We start from the raw sequence: 27513 nt of genomic DNA on the forward strand, positions 1-27513 counted from the left end.
TCAGGAAATGTGGCATATTCATGGACTCAGGGAAACGCCCATCACTGGACACCTCTCTTTGATCTACATAGATGTATATATCGTCTAGGTAGAGAAACTTTCTAAGGGTCCATTAACATGTCACCAAGGAATTGGGGAAGCTTTATATAGAGAAGATCTTCATAGCTCACTCTGAGCTACGGTGGTCAGAACCTATCTATCAGGCTGGGGTTGGGTTAAGTGGAGAGGTAGGTGGAGAGGTAACAGACAAAAAAGCCACCTGTGCTCCATCTCCCTTTCTTACTTCAGCTCTCCAGCCAAAGTGGACCCAAGCTGGGGAGGGGAGAAATTTTTGCATTAAATCAGGTTTAGAGTTATTACTATTTTGGACCATGCATCCAAAACACTGAACTAAATGTGGGTTTGTGATTTTGAATATACTACAGAACATTCAAAGAGGCCACTATACACTAAAATACAGTAATGTCTTGGTATTTTGAACCATACATGTTCAACACAGTGATTTAATTCATGAGAGAAGAGAGATGTAGGCATTTCTAAATAGAACGAATCATGAAAACAGAGACCTTTACATGGAAGTGACATATCTAACAGGAGTTTGGAAAGCATTGAGCTCAGGGTGTACAACACGTGGCTAGGAAATCAATGTAACATTCCCTTCAGGTGTATTAGGCAACTGCTTCTCTCCTAACTTATGAGAAATGTAGCTCAGACACTGCAATTTCTTAAAAAACTATAAGAAAAGGCATTGATGCTACATTAATAAATGTTCTCCCAAAGTAGTAAACCATGTGAGATTTGTATTCAGTTTTCTACTTCTTATCTACATAGAGTGTTATCTCCATTATTTACTTTACACTCTTCTCTATTTTTAAAAAAGTAGAATAAAGAATTCTGAAATGTTTCTTGAATTTTATTTCTATCAGCACTCTACACTCTTATGCTGTGCATGGACATTCTTAAATGAGGATGGGAATTCGATGCACAAAATATCTTTATGCTTACTCAGAAACCTGGTCCATGGATCCTGATTTAATTACAGAGAAGAATGAGAGGAGATAAACCTAGATTTCTATATCTACTGTATCCATGACACAATTAATCTAAGACTCACAGAGGTCTACACATTCAGAAGCCTTGAAAATAATTTCTTTGATGTAATAAAGAGAAAACTGTTTTCCTTAACTGAATTTCTTGACTTCTGTAGACCAGAAATCAGATGCCTCATATTATTGTAGTGGTTTTTCTCCCCACAGTTTAATCTAGGATCCTTTAAAACCAAGGCTACTTCTAAATTCAGTAAGATTATATACAAACTTGATTTTATGAATTATGTGAATGCCACTGCTGAGAAGTCTCACTGGCAATATAATATGATTATGCAAATGTACACATCAGATAAATTAAAGGCATAAAAAGAAATCATAAAATTGAAGAAATAAATTTTTAAGGCTTTGTTTATTTCAGGTCTTTCATGTCAAAGTTGGAAACTTTCTTTTGTAAGGATACAGGTGAAAACTGTTAGGTAGGGTAGAGAGGAGAAAATCATACCCTAGGCACATATTTGTTGTTCACTGGGTTAGTCCCTTACAAAGGGTGCATAAGCAACACAGATATTTTATATTGGACATTTTGCCAGTTGTACATGGATTCAATATAGTTGCAAATGATCCCATTATGAAAATTAAATTCAATGCATCATTTTTCTCTAACAAGTTACTGTTCTTGATAAACTAATGGAATAAAAGATTCTGCATTGTATTCATGGCACTTAAGGATAGATGTTGCAGTACTTTAATATTACACTTTAATCATTATACTTCAATACTTCAATGCTTTAATCATCATACTTCAATACTTTAATAATTACAGCAAGATTTGGTAGATTATTTTATGCCTACTTAGAAAAGCAAGTATTTTTAAAGCAAACAAAAAATAGAAATGAAACAAACACCGATTACAATACAATTTTTCTATTTCTCTTTTAAAAAAATGGGGTAGAGAGAGAACAGAATCTGGTTGCTCACTGACACAAGGCTTAAAATGAGCCCCATTTCTCAATACTAATATTTTAAAAATAAAAGTTGGATACTTCCATTGTGAATTCTTTGTTTTCTATATATTTCCATATACGATTACTTTGTATTTCTGTATTCCATAAAGAACTGTAACTCCTTTGAGGGCAGACATTTAGTCACTGATCTTTGCAGTCACACTCATGCATTCCTTACATTTGCTGAGTCCTTAGCCCATGGTAGTTGTGCAGTAGAAGTTCATTAAACAATTGAAATAAAGAGCACATTTCATTGATTCTAAAATCCATCTTTATTTTTACATTTTAACAATTCTGAGATCAGAATGCCTCTTACATTCAATAGTCTGTCATGGTTGCTATTAGTAATCATGACCTGACTTAAAATAAAATCTCAGAGGCAGTATTTCTCCATAATTTGGAATTATTAATGCTCTTAATGACACAAGAACAATATCGTATAGAAAACCATGATCATCAATGACCCTGTAATAAAAACTAATTTAGAAGTCGAGTTCTGAGTGTGAACTATTATAAAAAATTAAATTATTTTGCTTTTATTGGCCTTTTTATGCAGGCCAATAAATGACATATTTTAAAAAAAATCAAAGTATAAACAAATTTAGAAGAGCTTTTTCAATAATCTTCTATCTCATAAGACATTATGGTAGTTTAACTGGCAGTATGTTTTATTTTGTTTTGATATATAAAATAATCATACATGTTATACATGTACATATGTACATATAATAAATATTGTATGGTATACAATTTTGTGGCAGATGGTACGCTATTCATAGTGTTTTGATTTACACTGTACCTTGAAATGTTTTGAATAGAGTATACTTTTGTCAAATAGCATATTCCTAATAATTTGCAAAATAACAGATAACTAAAACCACCACAATCTACATTCACAAAATCACAAGTGTTTATCTCTATACATTTGATTATGTTTTGCTTCCATCATAAGTAATTTTCATTTGCGTGTTCAAAAGGTCATCTTCAGCATATGGATGTCCCTTTTAACTTCAGAGGCCTCAGTGTGCACCCTCCACTTCCAACCCAGGACCATACCAGGTGAAGTGAGATATGAAGAAGCATATGGTCTCTTTGTACATCTGCCTCAGAACTTCTTTCCATCTTCCAAAATGGAGAGAAAACATGCCTAAATGGTGCCAGCATACTAGCTGGTAATGACCACATTAGAACAGCATTGCTACTTTGACTTAGTGACTTACATTTTGCTTCAGTTCCTCAAATAAGCATTGCGTCTTCTATCTCTGACTTTTCTGTCTTTTCTCAATTTCAATCTGTCAAAACACTACTCGACCTATAAGACCTAGTATGAATGTTATTAGATATTCCCTAATAACCTCAGCCAGAAGTGGCTATACATTTTTTAATTTCTATATCTTTTGTTTATTCTTTTAGAACACCGTATCATATGACTATTGATATATATTATTTTCACTATCTGACAGTGGAATCCTGAGTACAGGGTAATGTTTGATAGATCTCTATATAACCTCACAATTTAAAGCCATGATTGTAATAGGGGCTCAATAAAAGTTTATTAAATTGATAAATTTACTGAATTCCTAAACTATTATACAATCAGTGTATATTTTACACAGTGAATGTTTTATGCTGCAAGCCACATTTTTTCTTTCAATCTTTTTTTAGCTAACAACATATTATAAAAAGCATTTGATGGTATCACTAAGAATATGTTATGAAAGCTATTCAACGCATATATAAAGCACTGTTATTAATCTTTAACCTGTTTAAGTTCCACTTATAATTACCCACCATTATTATTTATACATGATTTTATCTGTATTTTACAGATACATGCAATATTTGAGGAGGTAATTTTATATCAACCATTATTTGCTTTTTGAGAGCCTAACCTAGGAATCTACGTTGTAACATTCTTTCAGCAAACTTACCTCTCACAATGATGTTGGTGGACTTTTTTGCAGGGTTTCCCACATTATTATTGGCAATGCAGCTGTAAGTACCAGCATCATCTGAGGTGATGGCAGGTATGGTCAAAGTTCCTCCATTCAAAACAGTCTTTTCAGGCAGAGTCCCAAAGGACCTGACCCAGGTGAGAGAAGGTGCAGGCTCTCCTCCTGTTGTAACACATACTAATGTTATGGCCTCTCCAGGATTTACAACTATAGGATCATCCACCAAGAGTTTAATTGACGGTGATGCTAAAAGACATAAACAGAAGAACGTGCACCTATTTAGATATGCTACAACTAGAATTCAACAGCATGCATTATATTGGTTCATTCAAAAAATTAAAATGAAATATAGTCCTCTTTTGCCAAAATCATACTGTATTACTCAAATTTAAACAAGATTTAATGGTTTCATATTTTAATTAAATGGTATAAACATGTAGAACTGTATTAAGAATCTTACACATAGAAAGGGGAAATAAAATTTATGTTTCCTGGATTATTGTTCTGAAATTGGAATAATAAGCATGATTAAGGTTTTAAAACAAAATATCCCTTTCTTTTTTAATGCTGACAATCATCTTCTGTTTTTGTCATTCCCAGTACAGATACTGCAGATATTCAGTCCTTGTATTTTCATGGTGAAGATGGTTAATTATTTATTTTTTGGATCATTCTGAGATGAAATGATAAATTTTTGCAATCTGAATACAACCAAGTGACAGATAAAGTCATAGATCACCCAGGCTTTTACCATTCAGTGAGCCTGATTTTTGTTCTCGAAAGAAAAAAATAAAATCATCTAATTCTAATGCAGTGTCCATACTTCATCTCTAACCTCTTCACTTACAAAGGTCTAGGCAGTGAGCTCCTATCAACACAGCTTTAAAACTTAGAAACAAACATTCAAGAGCTCAAACAGCCACCAAACCATGCTTGCCACTACTGTTTGGGTTATAAAAATCCCTTACTGAAAACAAGTCTTTTGTAATCTTTTAGGTTAAAAAATACAAAGATAAACATTCATTCAGTAGAAAAAGCTGTGTGCAGCCTTTTCATCAAACACTCCAAATAGAAACTGTACAAAAACTTTCTTCACATATAGCACATTTTTTTTCTGCTTACACTGCCGTGCTAGCCTAAATAATGCATCCCTAAATAAAAACAGGAGAAATACATTATAATGACATTTCAAGTGACACATTCAGAAATATTTTGTCAAAGTTAGAGCTGTATTATATGAAATCAATCTACATCGGAAATATTTAAACTGTTCAATTGTACTGTGTTTTTTTTAATATATTAACTTCAGCTTAGAGTTGAGGAGTGTTTTACTCAGAATAAAAGCTAGACTACTTGTGAAGTTCAAAACTGTCTGCCGTGTTTGAAAAAAAAAAAAAAAAAAGCCAGAAAAGGCAAGAAAATAATTTCACATTACAGTTCTATGGGAAAGACATGAAGTGCCTGTATGACCTTTTTAAGCATCAATGTTTCATGTTGAGTCTTCTAACATCACTTTAAATAATATGGGAATTTTTAAAATGTCATACTATTAGCCCTTCTGAGGAGTTAATATGAAATTCTAAATATTTATGATTACAAACCTGTTGGGAAATGCACATCATGAAAAAAGTATGCAAAAGTTGCCATATTTTGGTGAAAAAAACCTCAAAGAGTTATTTAATGTTAAACTGATGGAGGACAGTACTAATTAAATATTCTGAAAATAGATATTATACTTAATTATTAATATATCATCATGAAGAGGTAAAGAAAATCTCTATACCCTGACTTAAGGTAAATAGCATAATCATACACAAGTATTTGATTAAAATATAGAGATCTCAACATTTATATCATATTAACAGATTAATTTCTTTTACATCACATTTTAGTCAAATTAAAAGGCCCAAGGCCTAAAGGCCATTAACAGCATATATTTGGACTATGGACATACCCAATGGTGACATTAAGTCCGGGAATATTTGCCCCTGAAATTGATTTGTATAGGATGAGTTGTTTTCTATTAGATATTATTTAATGCAAAAAAGCTTAAGATAATTTCAAAGCTCAAAAAATAATGCATATATAACAAGATCACTGTTCTAACTATAATACATTTTAGAACTACCTTCACAACATTGTTAAAAATGTTTTCTTCCAAATTTGACTTGGAAACACAGTATTGCTCAAGTTACGTTTATTGATGGTGGCACTTATTTTATCTGTTTATACCTGAAACTAAAAATAGCCCAGATAGACCACAAAACAGCTAACAATTTCAAGACTTTAAAAATATTTGTATATATTTTAATACCAAAATTTGCTAGCTTTAAATTTCAAAATAGAAAAAAAAGTTGAAATCATTGTCATTTTGTTCTAGTATTTTACTTTTTATTTCATAAATATCAGCTTTTTAAAACTATAAGGCTTTGCTTAAGAACCAGAGACATTCAGATTTATCAAGCAAGCTTCAGTGTAAATCATGTCGTTGAGTAAAAACTGATATAGGAAAAACATAAAAATATTTTTGTCCATTAAAATATTTTAAGGAAAATATTTCATATTGGATGAATCATTTGCTAATTTGGGGGTATACAAAGAGTAACATAAAACATTATAGGTTAGTCATTCTCTTCTTATAGGTTTCCATAGCTACCCCTGCCAGTTTTTTCTTCATATTACCTTGTATATTAGCCAGGCTACCAATATGACTCTTCAGCCAGATGAAAAGTGTCATGATTGCATTCTCTGAAGTATTATATAATGTGATAGTTAAGTGGTAAGAGTACAAATTCTAGAGTAAGGTACCTGGGTTCAAGTCTTGACTCTGCCATTTAATACCTGTGTGAACTTGAGCAAGTTCTTTGTTTTCAGTTGAGGGCCTCAATTTCCCATTGTTGAAATGGGGGAAAATACTTGTAACTATCTTGAAGTATTTAGATAATTTAACATGCGTAATCTGAAGTCCTTTTGATAATAGCTAGTACAAAGGATGCACAAAGTGTTTTCTTTTATCATTTATTTACCCTCACAGCCTAGTCCAGTGCTTGGAACTCAGTGGGTGCTTAATAAATATTAGTAACACGAGGCAGTAAATGGGAAAATGAATAAGTGAGTAACTACTATAAAATATGTGGTCACTATAGAATACAGTTATTCTGATTGCATACTGCAGAAATATCTCTACCATTTTGACTTTTGAAAGTCCTATACCATATATATAAAACATATTTAAATACATCTCTACATTTCAAATAAATAATTATTAATTTTGTTTTATAATATTTTTATTTGGAAATTGAAACTATTGTTTTTCAAGATTCAACATTTTCCCAGGACCTTTAAAAGCTCATGGGCAAAAGGTACTATATCTATGTTAGCACTTGTGTAGGTAAGTGATACTTTTTCACAATGTCCTGAAACTGCCCAACCACCCTCATTCTATCCATTACAAGCTTCTTCTTCTGCACTTATATGGGTATATAAGACATGAAGAAAGATAAAGTTCATTTTACTAAATCATGTACATGTTTAGCATACGTCTACAGCATGTGTTAATTGAATTATCTCATTACTATATAAGGTTAAACATGGAAGGTCATAGAGGTCATAAATTCCCTTATTACCATGAAAAAAGTTCACTGTTCTAAAAAACAATTACAGAATGTAAATGTCCATTGATTCATCGCAGCAACATGTGAGATAGATTATTAGTTTATTCTCATTGATAAGCAATAAAAAATCAAACATGAAAACTGAAATGGGATAAGGAAACACTGGATGAGACAGTATGAAATATTTATTTGAGATCTTCATCAAACCAAAATGAAAAATGAAAAAGGTGAAATACGTAAAGTAAAAAAGAGGGAAACTTTCTGATTAAGCAGAGCATTTATATTCTAAATTATAGATTATTTTAAATGTTTTATAATTAGTGTCAAATTGTGGCTCCAATTACATTAAAATAATTCCAACTACACCACCAGCTGTAAACATTCTCTCTGTAAGCAGTGCTTAAAAATGACTATGGTGCCAGTCAGAATACCAGGCTGGTAGTCTTCCAACATGTAATAATGGAAGGCACAGGTCATGATAGACATTGCCACAGAGATTTGAGTCTCCTCATAAAGATCAGGATGCCAATGTTCTAGCATGCCTGAGGTGCTCTGTAGTGGGGATACTTGATGAATGGAGGGACGATAGATAGATAGATAGATAGATAGATAGATAGATAGATAGATAGATAGACAGATAGATAGAAAGAAATTGGTCCTGGAGAGGCATAGTGATTTCGAATGACAAGAAAATAAGAGAAGAGAGAAAGAAAAGGAAAGAAAGGAAGGGAAAGGGGAACAAAAAGTCTGTGGTTTCTATTTTCCAAAATCATGAACTCTCAATAGAATTTCAATAACTGCAACATAGAAAGTATATTTTAGAAAATATCTTTGAGAAAAAGGAATTCTTCCTATTTCCCCATAAGCACCTCTTCTCCTGGCAAACAAAGTTTTCTTGGACTGAGCAACAGACACTTCAGTGGGTCCAAGAGAGGAATAACTGGCCTCTTGACACCCACACCAAATCCCAAACATCTGGATATTCAAGATCATAGGAGATCAGTTTGTCCCTTCCTATTTGAGGTCACTGAGTGTGGCTGCCTATATAGACAAGGACATAGTCATCTCATGGAAAATACTCCATGTTCCAGGGAGACAGCTCCCAGTCCCACAATGGTGGAATGGAGGGAGCAGAGAGACCAGCTAGCACTGAAAAGTGCCAAAAACAATAGGAATGAGAGAAGTCTCAGGAAATATATGCCTGTCAAAGGATTCAGACATCATGCTCCAGGCCTTGGTACAACAGCATCTCCTAGAATTTAAATTAAGTGGGAATTCCAAATTGATAAAGTTTTCTGAGGTTATGGCAGAATAAAGAGTTGAAAGAAAAAATAATACTGAATTATGACATAGTAGAGACAGATACATATTTTTCAAACCCAAGTATGTATACTGGGGTTCATGCCCACTAAAAATTATAGTGATTCAGTTCCTCATGATGTCTTCTTGGTGTGTGACACAAATATTTAATTTGGGGTTAAGTAATAATACATTATGTAGAAAGAAAACACTATTTTAGCAGGTCATTGACTTCTTAGGTGCTTTGTTTTTGCCGCTACCTAACATAATAGGTAAATATGAAGATAAGCATCCTTTTTAAAATCTGAAAGCAGGATACAGTGTTAATCATCTTTACATCCTTACAGACTTTGGCTCTCTGTACATCTGGAGCATTTAATTATGAAAAAGGAACCCAGCTTTCCATCCAGACTCTAAGCAACTTAGTATAAAGCAGTTAACAATTGTATAAACCTGCCAATTGCCTTGAATTAGAGATATTCTAATTTAAGCTCAAGACTTTTTTTTTTTTGAATGGAAATAATCTGAGTATTATAAAGTAACCTAATTCACAGAGAAGATTGTGAGGAAGGAGAAACACACACACACACACACACACACACAAACACACACACACACACACAAACTAACTAAATAAATAATAAAACAGAATAAACGCCAATTTTAAAATGCTCAGGTAGGAAATATCTGCTTTAGTTTGAAAGCAGGTCCTGGCACAGCAGTTGATTTGGGCTGGGATCACAGGAAACATATTGAAGAAGCAGAAAAGGGCAAAACAAGGAAGGAAGAAAAGCCAGTAAAGGGTCACTGATGAGCAGGTTATCACTGTGGGAAACTTGGCTCCCAGCTGCTAGGAACCCTCTGAGAGACCAAGTCAAGGGCACCGCAAAGCTCTCTATCTAAAGAACAAGGAGCCTGGCTCAGGTGCTTATCTATCAACTCCTGTCCCTCATTAATTGGGAATTATTCTCTGGGCCTTAACTTTCCCATCTCATGCCCTGGTCGAACACATTCCTGCATTCAGTGAAAGTTCTCAGATCGAAGAATAAATATGCAATCTGTCCAAAGAAACTGCAGCAACCTCCAGGCCAGGACAGGAGGAAAGGCAAGACACCCACTGTGTCTGCTATGACTTTGTTTCCATGTAAATCCAGTGATCAACGAGTGGCTACATGGAGACAATGTGTAAAGAGTAAAGAAAGAACAAGGAAGGGGTAGGCGGTAAGTGAAAGCACCCCTATCAATCAAGATATGGGTGAAAAATGAAATAATGAGAGCACAGTATGAATTTAAGAGAGACGAGGTAAAAATACACAATTAAGTTTCCGCTTCTGTTCCGTGACTCTACATTATTTAAACCATAGAACACATACATATGCTAAACAAATTAAATCCAGCTTGTATGTAGAGAAACATGCTTAAACTGTGCTTACAGATTCAAGGAATAGAAAAATATTTCTCTTGGAAGAACTAGTCACTTCACTGTGATGAAGATATCACTGTACTTTCATATATTTCATTGAAATTCATTTTCAACAGGTATTTCATTGAAATATAAGTAGCAGTGAATATTTCACAAAATAAAGATGAGATAATATATTAGAAGTTGATGTGAAAACTCAAAATAATCTACCCATTTATGTGGAGTTATTATTCAAATACTATCCTTCACATATTGATTGACTCTCATGAAGCCCAAGATTGGTATCATGCTGGGAAATTCTATTTAAAATGATGCTCTAGGAAATAACAATATTTGAAATTGTATTCATAAACAGTTTTTAATGTAGGAGTAAACTTTTGCTACAGATATTGAAGCCAACATGCATTTCTCATTGATATTCACAGGACAGACATTTATGGAAATGATTGCAAAGGCAGAATACTGTTCCTTTTTGAAAAATTGCATAACTTTTAGGAAGAGATGCGATTCATATGACCATGGATCCTAAATGAGAGATTCCCTAGATGGGCTTTGTTTGCCTGGCACAGTATCTGTTGTTGTTGTTATCAACAGTGATGAATGCCTTTAGGCATTGCTTGTTCTCCCTAGTGCAATAGGTTCCCTACCCATTCATTCATAAGTATTTCTACAGCATCTACTAGATATCAGGCCCTGTGACAGTAAGCTGTGATATATCAGCGAACAAAAGAGTCAAAGAATCCCTGCTGTCAGAAGTTTACAACTTAACAAGAAGAGAAACAGCACACTCTGCATGACTCTCCTTGTCTTAACTGACTTTGTATGTTTACTTCACCTGCCTGTTCTCTGAAGTCATATGCATTTACCAGGCTTGACTGGGATATTTATGTCATTAGAGCACGGTGAGCAAAGAAAACTGCCAAAAGTTACATTCTTCAGTAAACTAAGACTTTGCAAAATATAGTAAGTGACACTTATGCTTCTCAGGCCTCTGAGCCCAAGCCAAGCCATCGCATCCCCTGTGACTTGCACGTATATGCCCAGATGGCCTGAAGTAACTGAAGAATCACAAAACAAGTGAATATGCCTTGCCCCACCTTAACTGATGACATTCCACCACAAAAGAAGTGTAAATGGCCGGTCCTTGCCTTAACTGATGACATTACCTTGTGAAAGTCCTTTTCCTGGCTCATCCTGGCTCAAAAAGCACCCCCACTGAGCACCTTGTGACCCCCCACTCCTGCCCACTGAGCACCTTGCGACCCCCACTCCTACCCGCCAGAGAACAAACCCCCTTTGACTGTAATTTTCCTTTACCTACCCAAATCCTATAAAACGGCCCCACCCTTATCTCCCTTCGCTGACTCTCTTTTCGGACTCAGCCTGCCTGCACCCAGGTGAAATAAACAGCCATGTTGCTCACACAAAGCCTGTTTGGTGGTCTCTTCACACGGACGTGCATGAAATTTGGTGCCGTGACTCAGATCGGGGGACCTCCCTTGGGAGATCAATCCCCTGTCCTCCTGCTCTTTGCTCCGTGAGAAAGATCCACCTACGACCTCAGGTCCTCAGACCGACCAGCCCAAGAAACAAACATCTCACCAATTTCAAATCCGGTAAGCGGCCTCTTTTTACTCTCTTCTCCAACCTCCCTCACTATCCCTCAACCTCTTTCTCCTTTCAATCTTGGTGCCACACTTCAATCTCTCCCTTCTCTTAATTTCAATTCCTTTCATTTTCTGGTGGAGACAAAAGAGACATGTTTTATCTGTGAACCCAAAACTCCGGCACCGGTCACGGACTTGGAAGGCAGCCTTCCCTTGGTGTTTAATCATTGCAGGGACGCCTCTCTGATTATACACTCACGTTTCAAGGGTGTCAGACCACGCAGGGACGCCGCCTTGGTCCTTCACCCTTAGCGGCAAGTCCCGCTTTCCTGGGGCAGGGGCAAGTACCCCTCAGCCCCTTCTCCTTCACCCTTAGTGGCAAGTCCTGCTTTCCTAGGGGGCAAGAAGCCCCCAATTGCTTATTTCCGCACCCCAACCTCTTATCTCTGTGCCCCAATCCCTTATTTCTGCACCCTGACCTCTTATCTCTGTGCCCCAATCCCTTATTTCTGTGCCCCAACCCCTTCTCTGCTTTTCTGGAGGGCAAGAACCCCCCACCCCTTCTCCGTGTCTCTACTCTTTTCTCTGGGCTTGCCTCCTTCACTATGGGTAAGCTTCCACCTTCCATTCCTCCTTCTTCTCCCTTAGCCTGTGTTCTCAAAAACTTAAAACCTCTTCAACTCACACCTGACCTAAAACCTAAATGCCTTATTTTCTTCTGCAATGCTGCTTGACCCCAATACAAACTCGACAGTAGTTCCAAATAGCCAGAAAATGGCACTTTGAATTTTTCCATCCTGCAAAATCGAAATAATTCTTGTCGTAAAATAGGCAAACGGTCTGAGGTGCCTGACGTCCAGGCATTCTTTTACACATCAGTCCCTTCCTAATCTCTGTGACCAGTGCAACTCGTCCCAAATCTTCCTTCTTTCCCTCCCGCCTGTCCCCTCAGTACCAACCCCAAGCATCGCTGAGTCTTTCTAATCTTCCTTTTCTACAGACCCATCTGACCTCTCCCCTCCTCCCCAGGCTGCTCCTCGCCAGGCTGAGCTAGGTCCCAATTCTTTCTCAGCCTCTGCTCCTCCACCCTATAATCTTTTTATCACCTCCCCTCCTCACACCTGGTCCGGCTTACAGTTTCGTTCCGTGACTAGCCGACTAGCCCTCCCCCTCCTGCCCAGCAATTTACTCTTAAAAAGGTGGCTGGAGCTAAAGGAATAGTCAAAGTTAATGCTCCTTTTTCTTTATCCCAAATCGGATAGCGTTTAGGCTTTTTTTCATCAAATATAAAAATCCAGCCCAGTTCATGGCTCATTTGGCAGCAACCCTGAGACACTTTACAGCCCTAGACCCTAAAAGGTCAAAAGGCCGTCTTATTCTCAAAATACATTTTATTACCCAATCTGCTCCCGACATTAAATAAAACTCCAAAAATTAAATTTCGGCCCTCAAACCCCACAACAGGATTTAATTAACCTCGCCTTCAAGGTGTACCATAATAGAAAAAAGTTGCAATTCCTTGCCTCCATTGTGAGACAAACCCCAGCCACATCTCCAGCACACAAGAACTTCCAAAGGCCTGAACCGCAGCAGCCAGGCGTTCCTCCAGAACCTCCTCCCACAGGAGCTTGCTACATGTGCCGGAAATCTGGCCACTGGGCCAAGGAATGCCCGCAGCCTGGGATTCCTCCTAAGCCGCGTCCCATCTGTGCGGGACCCCACTGAAAATCGGACTGTTCAACTCACCTGGCAGCCACTCCCAGAGCCCCTGGAACTTTGGCTCAAGGCTCTCTGACTGACTCCTTCCCAGATCTTCTCGGCTTAGCAGCTGAAGACTGACACTGCCCGATCGCCTCGGAAGCCCCCTAGACCATCACAGACGCCGAGCTTCCGGTAACTCTCACAGTGGAAGGTAAGCCCGTCCCCTTCTTAATCAATACAGAGGCTACTCACTCCACATTACCCTCTTTTCAAGGGCCCGTTTCCCTTGCTTCCATAACTGTTGTGGGTATTGACGGCCAGGCTTCTAAACCTCTTAAAACTCCCCAACTCTGGTGCCAACTTAGACAATACTCTTTTAAGCACTCCTTTTTAGTTATCCCCACCTGCCCAGTTCCCTTATTAGGCCGAGACACTTTAACTAAATTATCTGCTTCCCTGACTATTCCTGGACTACAGCTATATCTCATTGCCACCCTTCTTCCCAAGCCAAAGCCTCCTTTGCGTCCACCTCTTCTATCCCCCCACCTTAACCCACAAGTATAAGACACCTCTACTCCCTCCTTGGCGACCGATCATGCACCCCTTACCATCTCATTAAAACCTAATCACCCTTACCCCACTCAAGGCCAATATCCCATCCCGCAGCACACTTTAAAAAGATTAAAGCCTGTTATCACTCACCTGCTACAGCATGGCCTTTTAAAGCCTATAAACTCTCCTTACAGTTCCCCCATTTTACCTGTCCTAAAACCAGACAAGTCTTACAAGTTAGTTCAGGATCTGCACCTTATCAACCAAATTGTTGTGCCTATAAACCCCGTGGTGCCAAACCCATATACTCTCCTATCCTCAATACCTGCCTCTACAACCCATTATTCTGTTCTAGATCTCAAACATGCTTTCTTTACTATTCCTTTGCACCCTTAATCCCAGGCTCTCTTCGCTTTCCCTTGGACTGACCCTGACATCCATCAAGCTCAGCAAATTACCTAGGCTGTACTGCCGCAAAGCTTCACAGACAGCCCCCATTACTTCAATCAAGCCCAAATTTCTTCCTCATCTGTTACCTATCTCGGCATAATTCTCATAAAAACACACGTGCTCTCCCTGCCGATCGTGTCCGACTGATCTCTCAAACCCAAGCACCTTCTACAAAACAACTCCTTTCCTTCCTAGGCATGGTTAGCGCGGTCAGAATTTTTACACAAGAGCCAGGACCACACCCTGTAGCCTTTCTCTCCAAACAACTTGACCTTACTGTTTTAGCCTAGCCCTCATGTCTGCGTGCAGTGGCTGCCGCTGCTTTAATACTTTTAGAGGCCCTCAAAATAAGTAGAGGCCTTTCCTACAGGGTCTGAGAAGGCCACCGCAGTCATCTCTTCCGTTCTGTCAGACATAATTCCTCAGTTTAGCCTTCCCACCTCTATACAGTCTGATAACAGACCAGCCTTTATTAGTCAAATCAGCCAAGCAGTTTTTCAGGCTCTTGGTATTCAGTGAAACCTTTATATCCCTTATGGTCCTCCATCTTCAAGAAAAGTAGAATGGACTAAAGGTCTTTTAAAAACACACCTCACCAAGCTCAGCCACCAACTTAAAAAGGACTGGACAATACTTTTACCACATTCCCTTCTCAGAATTCAGGCCTGTCCTCGGAATGCTACAGGGTACAGCCCATTTAAGGTCCATAACACCCCCCAAAAAATTTTCGCCGCCCCAACACTTCAACACTATTTTGTTTTATTTTTCTTATTAATATAAGAAGGCAGGAATATCAGGCCTCTGAGCCCAAGCCAAGCCATCGCATCCCCTGTGACTTGCACGTATACGCCCAGATGGCCTGAAGTAACTGAAGAATCACAGAAGAAGTGAATATGCCTTGCCCCACCTTAACTGATGACATTCCACCACAAAAGAAGTGTAAATGGCCGGTCCTTGCCTTAACTGATGACATTACCTTGTGAAAGTCCTTTTCCTGGCTCATCCTGGCTCAAAAAGCACCCCCACTGAGCACCTTGCGACCCCCACTCCTACCCGCCAGAGAACAAACCCCCTTTGACTGTAATTTTCCTTTACCTACCCAAATCCTATAAAACGGCCCCACCCTTATCTCCCTTCGCTGACTCTCTTTTCGGACTCAGCCCGCCTGCACCCAGGTGAAATAAACAGCCATGTTGCTCACACAAAGTCTGTTTGGTGCTCTCTTCACACGGATGCGCAAGAAAATGCTGAAATCTATTCACTGAACAATATAAATAGAAAAGCTAGAGAAACAGAACTTGTGTTCTAAGGTGAGCAAAAGTCAGTGAAGCAAAAAAGATGATCCCCGTGTATAAGCTATACCAATAGTTGGGGTACTAATACCTAGCAGCGTGAAAGGTCTTTATAAACATTGACAAGGTATGATGAAGAAAAAAATTAGCACTACACATATCTCCTTCCCTTGATCAACAATCCTTTACTGTTCTTTCCAACAGGTGAGGTCCTGGCAAACTTGGTCTCATTCAAGTTTACAGGAAGCTGAGCATTCACTTGCTGCAGAATCCCAGAGGGTCAGCTCCCATAGAGAGAAAAATCCAAGCTAAGCATTTCCAACTGAAGTGTTTGTTGTCCATAAAATTTTCTTGTTATTAATGGAAAACACCAGAATTTTAAGCACAGTACTAGACTGTAAAGACACTTTCACCACAAAATCAGCAGAGCATGAACTTTCTATTTCTTCTACCTGGAATTCTCTTCCAGTGCTTGTCCACTCATTAAACCAGTCATCAGGCAATTTATCATGCTCAAATAACAATAACAATTCTTCACCAAAATTTCCAGCTTTTGTCCAGACCAACTGAGTTGCTTCTTTCTTTGTGTGAGAATAGCTCTTTATAATACCCCCTCATTAGGACATTTGCCCCTATGCTTTCACTGTGAGATATTTAGGAGTAGGACATCAGAGTAAAAAGGGTAGTGTTTTTCATCTTTGTACCACCAGCACCCAGAAGAGTATTTGACAAAGAATAGGTGCTCAATAAAATTTTACTGAATAAAAGAAAGTTGAATTTAAAAATTATTAAACCAAAACTCCATCTAAGCTCTGAGTATTCATCAAACTTAATTTAAAATGATCAAAAGGCCAGGCATGATGGCTCACACTTGTAATCCCACAATTTGGGAGGCCAAGGCAGGAGTAACACTTGAGGTCGGGAGTTCAAGACCAACCTGGCCAACATGGCAAAAATATGCCTCTACCAAAAATACAAAAATTAGCCAGGTGTGGTGGCACAGACCTGTAGTCCCAGCTACTTGGGAGGCTGAGGCAAGATAATTGTTAGGATCCGGGAGATAGAGGCTGCAGTGAGCCGAGATTGTGCCACTGCACTCCAGCCTAGGGAGACAGCGAGACTTTGTTTCAAAAACTACAGAAAGTAAAATAAAATAATCAAAAAAACCTACAAACACTGTGAAATAGTGTGACAGATGATAAGAATTTCATGAGCCATTTATTGACAAATTCTAGTTATGACAACTTGCAAGTTATTTCATTGTTCTACCCATTTAAACTTACCTATGTTTTATATTACTAACAAGGAGATGGCAAAGCATTTATCTATCAAAATGTAATGCACCACTCCCAAAAAAAAAAAATACAGTGTACTGTTTGCACTCCTTTGTACTTATTTGTTCATTTATACCATTGAACATTATTTTTAATAAACCATGTAACTCAGCCGAATGTTGACTCTGAAACCAAAATAAAGGCTACGTGGCTTTTTTCACAAGAGGGCTAGTATGTACATACTTTAATGGGGATTTAGCAAATTAGTCAAGATTTAAAGCTCTTTTCTGAGTGTAAAATAGCAACAGCAGAAGAGATAAAGACATCACCTCTAAGACCATCTGGTGTTGATTTCATAGCTATAGTTTTTACTTTTTCATTTTGTACCATATGGAAAGGTACTCTCCTACTGGGAAAAATATTTTGTCTGAAAAAGATTAGTTTTCTTTTTCATAATCCATTCTGGGGACACTTTATCACAGTGTAATATTTTGAACACCTTTATGACTCTGTAACTTTATTTTATAGAAATTTTGGCTAACATTTATTTATAGCCAATCTTAAAGGATAATGTTGAATAAATTTAACTCTGCTGGGCCTCTGTTTGCTCTTCTAAAAAGTGAGAAAATTCTGTTACATAATTTCTAAAGGATTGCTTAGAGCAAGTTTTTATCATGATTAGGAAAACATCTGCACATATAGCCTCTTAATCTATGATATATCTATGTTTGGCTACTCAAATGTCTACATTGGTTCCATGATATAGCAAAGATTAAAAATCACATCAGGGGATTAATTAGCTAGGCCAACAATTACTACCAAATAAACTCATTGTAAATTTAGAGATGTACGTATGTTCTATTTTAAGAAAAAATCCTAATTCAACATATATTTATTAAGTACCAATTGCATACCAGGCATTGGAGATGTTAGAAAAAAAACAGGCCAAAATCCTGCCCTTGTGGAGTTTGTAATTAGGAGACAATTATAGCCCTTAAAATGTCCTAGACATTCTCCAAAAGCTTTGCATACATTAACTCATTTAATTATAGGAGGTAGGTACTATTATTACTTTATTTTATTTTTTACCAAACTGAGAAACCATTTAGAAACACTTTTGATAACCCCTAAGTCACACAGCTAGTGAAAAGTGAAGCTGGGATTCTATTCTAGGGAATCTGGCTTAAGATGAATGTAAAAGGCTGTAGGTAAACTCCAATGCAAAATAAACAAAATTCATAATTTCCAAGTTTGATTGAATATTGGATGATATTTAGGCCAGGAGAAGAATTAGTGCTGCCTCTCTAACAGAAAGAAGGAATAGCATTGATGCCATCTAGTATATTATGAAAAAATTGGATAGAGTAAAAACAAACTTGATTTGCTAGTCAGAATTGCAGAAATATTCACCATCCAAAATAGAAGTTGAAAAGGATTTGTGAACCACATAAGTCATAATTACAAAGCCTAAATCCTGAAGTGTCCGTGGAAGAGGTTCTTAAGCCATTGCTCTGGATATGTTCACATCTCACACATACAAAACTTTTTAATTGGCTCAGTGATTTAAATTCTCAGAATCTAAGAGGTAACGAGGAGAAATTTAAAATGGAAAGACTTCTTGAGGCAGGAAAATGGAGAGCAACAGTAGCAGTTGGTAATCTGCCAGCAAGAAAAGAGTGAAAGAAACAACTATCTAATATAGAACAGTAAATGGGGTCACAAAGTACAATATTAACCTATCTTCCATATGTTTCAACTATCACCCCAAAATGCCAGATTAAAAAAGATAAGAGGTAATACACTTGAGCAGCTAGATGTTAGTAATAAGATGAAGATTTTGAGACACAAAAATTACATAGTTCTCCAAGGAAGAGCCTGACAAGGATGTAGATTGTCTGACTGCAGAGCTCATGCTCTTACTGTCTGCCCAGGCTAACTCTTTATCATGAACCTGTAATATGAACAACAAAGGGGCTAAGTTGAAAGGACTGAGATGAGGAACCTGGAATGCAGAACAATGGCAAAGTTTATTCAACAGTAAAAAAAAGCGGGAGAGGAAAGAAAGATAAAAGAAATGGGAAGAGAAGAGAAAGAGTGAGGAGAAAAAGGGAGACAGAATGAGAAAATTTTTTGCTTATGCTTTTTTAAAAAATGTGTTATTTTATTTTAAGTTCTGGGATACATGTGCAGGACATGCAGCTTTGTTACATAGGTAAACGTGTGCCATGGTGGTTTTCTGCACCTATAAACCCATCACCTAGGTATTAAGCCTGGCATTCATTAGCTATTTATCGTGATGCTCTCCCTCCCTCTACCCCTCAAGACAGGCTCTAGTGTGTGTTGTTCTCCTCCCTGTGTCCATGGGTCCTTATTGTTCAGCTCCCACTTATAAGTAAGAACATGCAGTATTTGGTTTTCTGTTCCTCATTAGTTTGCTGAATAAAATGGCTTTAAACTCCATCCATGTCCCTGCAAAGAACATCGTTCCTTTCTCTGGCTGCATAGTATTCCATGGTATATATGTACCACATTTGCTTTATCCAGTCTATCACTGATGGGCATTTGGGTTGATTCCATGTCTTTGCTATTGGAAACAGTGCTGCAATGAACATATGTGTGCATATATCTTTATAATAGAATGATTTATATTCCTTTAGGTATATACCCAGTAATAGGATTGCTGGGTCAAATGGTATTTCTGGTTCTACGTCTTTGAGGAATCACAACACTGTCTTTCCACAATGGTTGAACTAATTTACATTCCCACCAACAGTGTAAAAACATTCCTATTTCTCCACAGCCTCACCAGCATTGGTTGTTTCTTGGCTTTTTAATAATCATCATTCTGACTGGCATGAGGTGGTATCTCATTGTGGTTTTCATTTGCATTTCTCTAGTAATCAGTGATGTTGAGCTTTTTCTCATATGCTTGTTGCCTGCTTAAGTATCTTCTTTTGAGAGGTGTCTGTTCATGTCCTTTGCTAACTTTTTAACGGGAATATTTTTCTCTTATAAATTTGCTTAAGTTCATTGTAGATTCTGGATATCCACTGACTCCACAGAAATACAAACAACCATCAGAGAATACTATAAACACCTCCATTCAAACAAACTAGAAAATCTAGAAGAAATTAATAAATTCTTAGACACATGCACCCTCCCAAGTTGAATCCCTGAATAGACCAATAACAAGGCCTGAAATTGAGGCAATAATAAATAGCCTACCAACAACAACAACAACAAAAAAGGCCCACGACCGGATGGATTTACTGAAACTATTCCAAACGATCAAAAAGGAGGGACTCCTCCCTAACTCACTTTATGAGGCCAGCATGATCCTAGTACCAAAACCTGGCAGAGATACAATAAAAAAAGGAAACTGCAGGCCAATATCTCTGATGAACATCCATGCGAATATCCTCAATAAAATACTGGCAAACTGAATCCAGCAGTACATCAAAAAGCTTATCCACCACGATCAAGTCAGCTTCAACTTGCAAGACTGGTTCAACATACACAAATCAATAAACATAATTCATCACATAAGCAGAACTAAAGACAAAAACCACTTGATTATCTCAACAGACACCAAAAAGGCCTTTGATAAAATTCAACATCCCTTCATGTTAAAAACTCTCAATAAACTAGGTATTGATGGAACACACCTCAAAATAATAAGAGCCATTTATGAAAAACTCACAGCCAATATCATACTGAATGGGCAAAAGCTGGAAGCATTCCCCTTGAAAATCAGCACAAGACAAGAATGCCATCTCTCACCAACCCTAATCAACATAGTACTGGAAGTTCTGGCCAGGGCAATCAGGCAAGAGAAAGAAATAAAGGGTATTCAGATAGAAAGAGAGGAAGTCAAACTGTATCTATTTGCAGATGACACGATCCTACATCTAGAAAACCCCATCATCTCACCCCTAATGCTTCTTAAGGTGATAAGCAACTTCAGCAAAGTCTCAGGATACAAAATCAATGTGCAAAAATCACAAGCATTCCTATACAGAAACAGTAGACAAGCAGAGAGCCAAATGATGAGTGAACTCCCATTCACAACTGCTACAAAGAGAATAAAATACCAAAGAATAAAATACCAAAGGAATACAGCTAACAAGGGAAGTTAACGACCTCTTCAAGGAGAACTACAAACCACTGTTCAAGGAAATCAAAGAGGACACAAACAAATGGAAGAACATTCCATGTTCATGGATATGAAGAATCAATATGGTGAAAATGGTCATCCTGCCCAATATAATTTATACATTCAATGCTATTCTAATTAAACTACCATTGACATTCTTCCCAGAATTAGGAAAAAACTACTAAATTTATATGGAACCCAAAAAGAGCCCATATAGCCAAGACAATCCTAAGCAAAAAAGAACAAAGCTGGAGGCATCACACTACCAACTTCAAACTATACTACAAGGTTACAGTAACCAAAACAGCAGGGTAGTGGTACAAAACAGACACATAGACCAATGGAACAGAATAGAGATCTCAGAAATAAAACTGCACATCTACAACCATCTGATCTTCGACAAACCTGACAAAAACAAGCAATGGGGAAAAGATTCCCTATTTAATATATAGTGCTAGGAGAATGGGCTAGCCATATGCAGAAAATTGAAACTAGGCCACTTCCTTACACCTTATACAAAAATTAACTTAAGACGGATTAAAGACTTACATGTAAAACCCCAAACTATAAAAACCCTAGAAGAAAATCTAGGCAATACCTTTTGGAACATAGGCATGGGCAAAGATTTCATGACAAAAACGTCAAAAGCAATTGCAACAAAAGCAACAATTGACAAATGGGACCCGAGTAATCCAAAGAGCTTCTGCACAGCCAAAAAAAAAAAAAAAATGCCTATCATCCGAGCCAACCTACAAAATGGAAGAAAATTTTTGCTTATGCTTTTACGGTATAATGTAAAACATAAGAAGTGGACAAAAGGACAAAAGTGATCAACATTCTGCTGAATACACTCTAGACTAAAGGGCAGATAAAATAAATAAAAGCATTCAAATTACATATAAATTCATACTTAACACATTCAAGCATTACAACTGTCAATTACTTTTAATTCCAGAAGTAATTTTATAAAATACAATAAGAATATAATATCTTGATTGCTTGAGTTGGGTCACAACTCAGACAAGTACTGTGTCATATATACTTCAAATCTTACCAAATACTCATTACTAGCTCATGTCTGGGATTGCTGCTCTACCCTTTAATGGATATGTGTGCATTGAAGATGTCTGGATGAGGAGACTAATTCTAGAAGGCAGACGTGCCTCAATAAATTAAGGCCTTCCCTAAGAAACCCGAGAAATATATAGATTTTGTCTTAAATGTTTGTGTGAGATATTTGCTTTTCAGGCACAGATATATCAAGTTTTTTTTTATTTCTATGTTTATATTGATATGCCTTCCACATGGTTAATTAAATAAAAAGAGGGGAAAAGGAGAAAGAAAAAGATTCAGAGCATCATTTGTTAAAAAGAAATGTATCATTCAACATAAGAAAATCAATTAATGTGATACACTACATTAGTAGAATAAAGGATAAAAATCACATGATTATCTTCATAGATGTAGAAAAAGCATTAGTCACAATTCAGCACCCTTTCATGATAACACTCTCAACAAACTAGGAATGGTAGGAAATTACCTTATATTAATAAAAGCCTATATGTAACTCCCACAGATAATAACATATTCAGTGTGAAAATCAAAAAGGTTTTCCTATAAGGTCTGGAATACGGAAAGGATGCCTGCTTTCACCACTTCTTTTCAACACAGTAGTGTTAGTCCCAGCCAGAGTAATTCGGCAAGAAAAAAGAATAGGAGGCATTAAAACTGAAAAGGAACGAGTGAAACTGTCCCTGTTTGCAGAACATATGATCTTATTTATAGTAAGCCCTAAAAACTCTATGAAAAAATACTTCAGGAAAATTGCAGGATACAAAATAAATGTACAAAAACCAGTCCTGTTTGTACTATTAACAACAAGTTATCTAAAAAGAAAATTTGAAAAACAATCACATTTACAATAACACCAAAAAAATTAAATACCTGGGAATAAGCTTAACTACGGAAGCAAAAGGCTTGTATACTAAAAACTACAAAACATTGGTGAAGGAGGTGAAACAGGGCACAAACAAATGAAAAGACATCACATTTTATGGATTGGAAGACTTAATATTGTTAAAATGTCCATACTGCCCAAAGTGACCTACAGATTCAATGAAATCTCATTTAATATTCTAATGGTATTTTTTACAGAAATAGAAAAAAAATTCTAAAATTCATATGGAACCACAAAAACCACAAATAGCCAAATCAATCTTGAGGATGGAGAACAAAGCAGGAGTTAGCACACTAGCTGATTTCAAACTGTATTGCAAAGCTATAGTAATCAAAACAGTAGAGCACTGGCATAAAGACAGACAAATAGACAAATGGAACAGAATAGAGAGCCCAGAAACAAATCCACAAATATATGTTTGACAAGTGGGTCAAGAAAACACAATGGGAAAAAGATAGTCTCCTAGACAAAGACAAGAGATGTTGGAAATATTGGATATCCATGTGCAAAGAAAAAAATTAAATCTGATCCCTAACTTACACAATACACCAAAAACAACTCAAAGTGGACTAAAGGCTTAAATATAAGACACAAAATTATAAAACTACTATAAGAAAACATAGAGGAAAAGATTCATTCCATTGATCTTGGGAATGATTTCATAGATATAACACAAAAGCATAGAAAACAACAACAAAAATAAACAAGTGGGACCACATCAAAATAAAAAAAAAGGTTCTGCACAGAAAAAAAAATAGAGTGAAAAGACAGCCTATTAAGTGGGAGAAAACAAAATGCAAACCATATATCCAATTGAGATTTCAAAATATTTAAGGAAATCCCAAAACTCAATAGCAAAAAACAAACAAACAACAAATAACCTGATTCAAAAATGGGATAAAGATTTGAACAGACATTCTCCAAAGAAGACACACAAATGGATAAGTATATGAACAAATGCTCAGTGTTACAAATCATAAAGGAAATGCAAATCAAAATCACAATAAGATACCAACTCACACCTGTCAGGATGACTACTACTTTTAAAGAAAGACGATAAGTGTCAGCAAGGATGTGAAGAAACTGGAAGCTTCGTGCAATGCAAACTGGTGCAGCTGCAATGGAAAACGATATAGAGGTTCCTCAAAATATTAAAACTGTGTCTACCATATGACCCAGTAATCCTACTTCCAGGACTGCTTATTTTTCCAAAAGAAATGAAATCAGGATCTCAAAGATATATTAGGATTCCTATATTCACTGCAGCTCTGTTCACTACAGTCAAGAGGTGCACGTAACCTAAATGTGCATCAACTGATGAATGAATATAGAAAATGTGGTATGTACATATAATGGAATATTATTTGGCCTGAAAAAATAAGCAAAGTCTGCAATATGTGACAAAATAGATGAGCCTTCAGAACATTATGCTAAGTGAAATGAGCCCGAAAGAGAAATATTGCACAATTGCATTTATATAAGGTACCTAAAGTAGTCAAATTCATAGAATCATAGAATCAAAGGGTGGAAATGTGGCTATCAGGGGTTGAGTGAGGAGGGAAATGAAGAGTTACTAATCAACAGGCATAAAGTTTAAGTCAAGCAAGAAGAATAAGCTCTAGAGATCTGTGGTACAACATTGCAATTATAGTCAACAATAATGTACTGTGCACTTAAAACTTTAGAAGCATATATTTCATGTTGAGTTCTTACTGCAATTAATAAAATAAAATTTAAAAACCATGTTTTAAAAAATAAATGTGCCAAGGAGAGGGATTTAGTTCCAAGTTTTGCATGCAGTTAGAAGCCAATTTACTGAACTGAATTACAAAGCCATAAAAAAGTGTTTTACCTGAATAAAATGACAATTTTAAACTACAGACCTTGTAGTAGGTGTCATTACTTATTGACTTACCATAAATACTTAATGCTGCTTAGTATTGTTATCACAGATCTAATTTCAACAAGAGCCAATTCAAGCCTAACTATTCAAGGAGCTACATTTCTTATCAGGGATTTCAGACATTCAGAGCAGATTGTTGCCATGTTCTAGGACAATGCTCCTACATGATAAAGGAGGTATTTATTTTTTGAATAAGATAATACTGTAATGGAATACATATAGAAGAACTAAATAGGTTACTACACAAAATTGAATATTGCTTAAAGAAATATTAAAAAGCAACAAAACCTTTTAATACTATTTTTAAATGAAACATAAAACATTGGATCACCTATGAATTCACTTCCTCTCTGTCAATATTTTATTTCTCGAAGCTACTGAAAATACAGCTTTCAAATTCTAGTTCTGGTATTTTCAATACAGATTTTGGTACCATCACATTTCTCTTTTTTATCTGATTAATGAGCTACTGAAATATCCTTGTAGAGCAAAAACAAAAAATACCATTTGTTTTCAATATAGAATTATTTTGTTTTCCAAGTTCTTAATGTATATGTGTATTGATTTGCCTATTTAACTCTCCAATGACTTGAAAGTTAGACCCATATTATATACGCTTTTTTTATAAAAACAACAACATCAACAACAAAAAAAGGTCTCTCACTCTGTCGTTCAGTCTGGAGTGCAGCGGCGTGATCAGAGCTCACTGCAGCCTCAACCTGGCAGGCTCAAGTGATTCTCCTGCCTCAGCCTCCCAAGTAGCTGGGATTACAGGCATGCACCACCATACCTGGATAATATTTTAAATTATTTTTCATAGAAATGAGGTCTCACTATATTGCCCAGGCTGGTCTCAAACTCCCAGCCTTGAGCAATCCTCCTGCCTCTGCCTCCCAAAGCAGAGACTGGGATTACAGGTGTGAGCCACCATGTCCAGCCTACATATTCTCTTTTTTTTTTTTTTTTGAGACGGAGTCTCGCTCTGTCGCCCAGGCTGGAGTGCAGTGGCGCAGTTTCGGCTCACCGCAAGCTCCGCCTCCTGGGTTCACGCCATTCTCCTGCCTCAGCCCCGCCCCCCCCCCCCCACCCCGTAGCTGGGACTACAGGCACCCGCCACCACACCCGGGTAATTTTTTGTATTTTTAGTAGAGACGGGGTTTCACCGTGTTAGCCAGGATGGTCTCAATCTCCTGGCCTCGTGCTCTGCCCGCCTCGGCCTCCCAAAGTGCTAGGATTACAGGCGTGAGCCACCGGGCCCGGCCCTACATATTCTTTAACTGTGGATCTGTATGCATACAATAATGCTTTATTAAACTTGTATTCATATCTAACATTTTTCTTAAACACACAATGTTTAGTGTGCAGACCATGCATATTCAGTGAATATTTCAGTTCCTTAAAATGTAATATAATGTCTTTGTACAGTTCACAGTATCATAATTTTATGTGGCTATCACATCAGATTGCTTTTTACTGATGATTCCAAAATGAAAAAACAAAGCCACTAACATTACGGCTTTCTTCACATTGAACTAAGTTTAAATTTGAAAGAAAATATGCAGTAATACAGGACTTTATAAAGTATTCCTGATCAAGGGAATTAGAAAGACATATTAAGAATAGAAAGAATTTAGTCTCTTTTCCTCCTTTTTTCCCCTTCAAGACAATTGTCTTTGTATATTGAATACCAGATAAATAAAGAACCCATATTACCTGCTTTCTTTTCCAATAGCTTTGTTTATATCTTTCCTGTGGTGCCTAATATTTTCTCTCTTCACTTTGGACATAGGTATTTTAATTTGCACTTAATATGTGACAATCATTTTGAAGGATTCTCATCTACTGTTACTTGTTAAATCAAGCTGTATAAAATTACCTCTATTTGGTCATTTCAGAACTACAAACATTTGCCAGCAAAACAAAGAAAATTGGTTTTGAAGAATTTTCTAAAAAGACACTACACTACCCAGTGACGCTTCACCGGGAAGACTACAGATCCTACCTTTTCCTTGGTTGAGTACAATGTCATAATGCCAAATCAAAGAAAAGACTTTAAGAGTAGCTTCTTAAAGTAAAAACGTAAAGAGTAGCTTTAATTGTCACACCTATTTGTGCCCAAAATCCAATACCTTGTCTCTTGATTATTTCCATGCTTGTGAAACCAAGGCAATAGGTCCCCAGAACATGAGGGCAAGGTTCCAATAAAAAAATTCCTGTGACACAGGGTGCCTATCAAAAACCAATACTGCTGACTAACTGCAGATTTATTGGATAGAATGT

The 27513-nt window shown here is 36.8% G+C and overlaps 1 protein-coding gene across 11 annotated transcripts in view, besides 3 other annotated features; it reads right to left on the minus strand.

The window, feature by feature from the left end:
* The window catches only part of MDGA2 (MAM domain containing glycosylphosphatidylinositol anchor 2), an 835983-nt gene that overhangs the window by 253247 nt on the left and 555223 nt on the right, over window positions 1–27513 (minus strand). For all 11 annotated transcript variants that reach the window (NR_103766.2, XM_011536519.3, NM_182830.4 and 8 more), the window contains one exon: window positions 3985–4254. Coding sequence is in view for 9 of the 11 variants with exons in the window: in XM_011536519.3 (XP_011534821.1) it covers window positions 3985–4254 (270 nt within the window). In the remaining 2 variants the exon portion in view is untranslated. The remainder of the gene's footprint in view (window positions 1–3984; window positions 4255–27513) is intronic.
* Window positions 10597–11158: an enhancer, noted in NCBI's record as "OCT4-NANOG-H3K27ac hESC enhancer chr14:47572669-47573230 (GRCh37/hg19 assembly coordinates)". NCBI's record gives its function as "activates a minimal SCP1, AML or CMV promoter by ChIP-STARR-seq in naive H9 embryonic stem cells {active_cell/tissue: H9 hESC(naive)}" and the evidence as "EXISTENCE:reporter gene assay evidence [ECO:0000049][PMID:30033119]".
* Window positions 11159–11718: an enhancer, noted in NCBI's record as "OCT4-NANOG-H3K27ac hESC enhancer chr14:47573231-47573790 (GRCh37/hg19 assembly coordinates)". NCBI's record gives its function as "activates a minimal SCP1, AML or CMV promoter by ChIP-STARR-seq in naive H9 embryonic stem cells {active_cell/tissue: H9 hESC(naive)}" and the evidence as "EXISTENCE:reporter gene assay evidence [ECO:0000049][PMID:30033119]".
* Window positions 15314–16295: an enhancer, noted in NCBI's record as "OCT4-NANOG-H3K27ac hESC enhancer chr14:47577386-47578367 (GRCh37/hg19 assembly coordinates)". NCBI's record gives its function as "activates a minimal SCP1, AML or CMV promoter by ChIP-STARR-seq in naive H9 embryonic stem cells {active_cell/tissue: H9 hESC(naive)}" and the evidence as "EXISTENCE:reporter gene assay evidence [ECO:0000049][PMID:30033119]".

This window comes from Homo sapiens, chromosome 14 (genome assembly GCF_000001405.40).
Source record: "Homo sapiens chromosome 14, GRCh38.p14 Primary Assembly".
Lineage (NCBI taxonomy): Eukaryota > Metazoa > Chordata > Mammalia > Primates > Hominidae > Homo > Homo sapiens.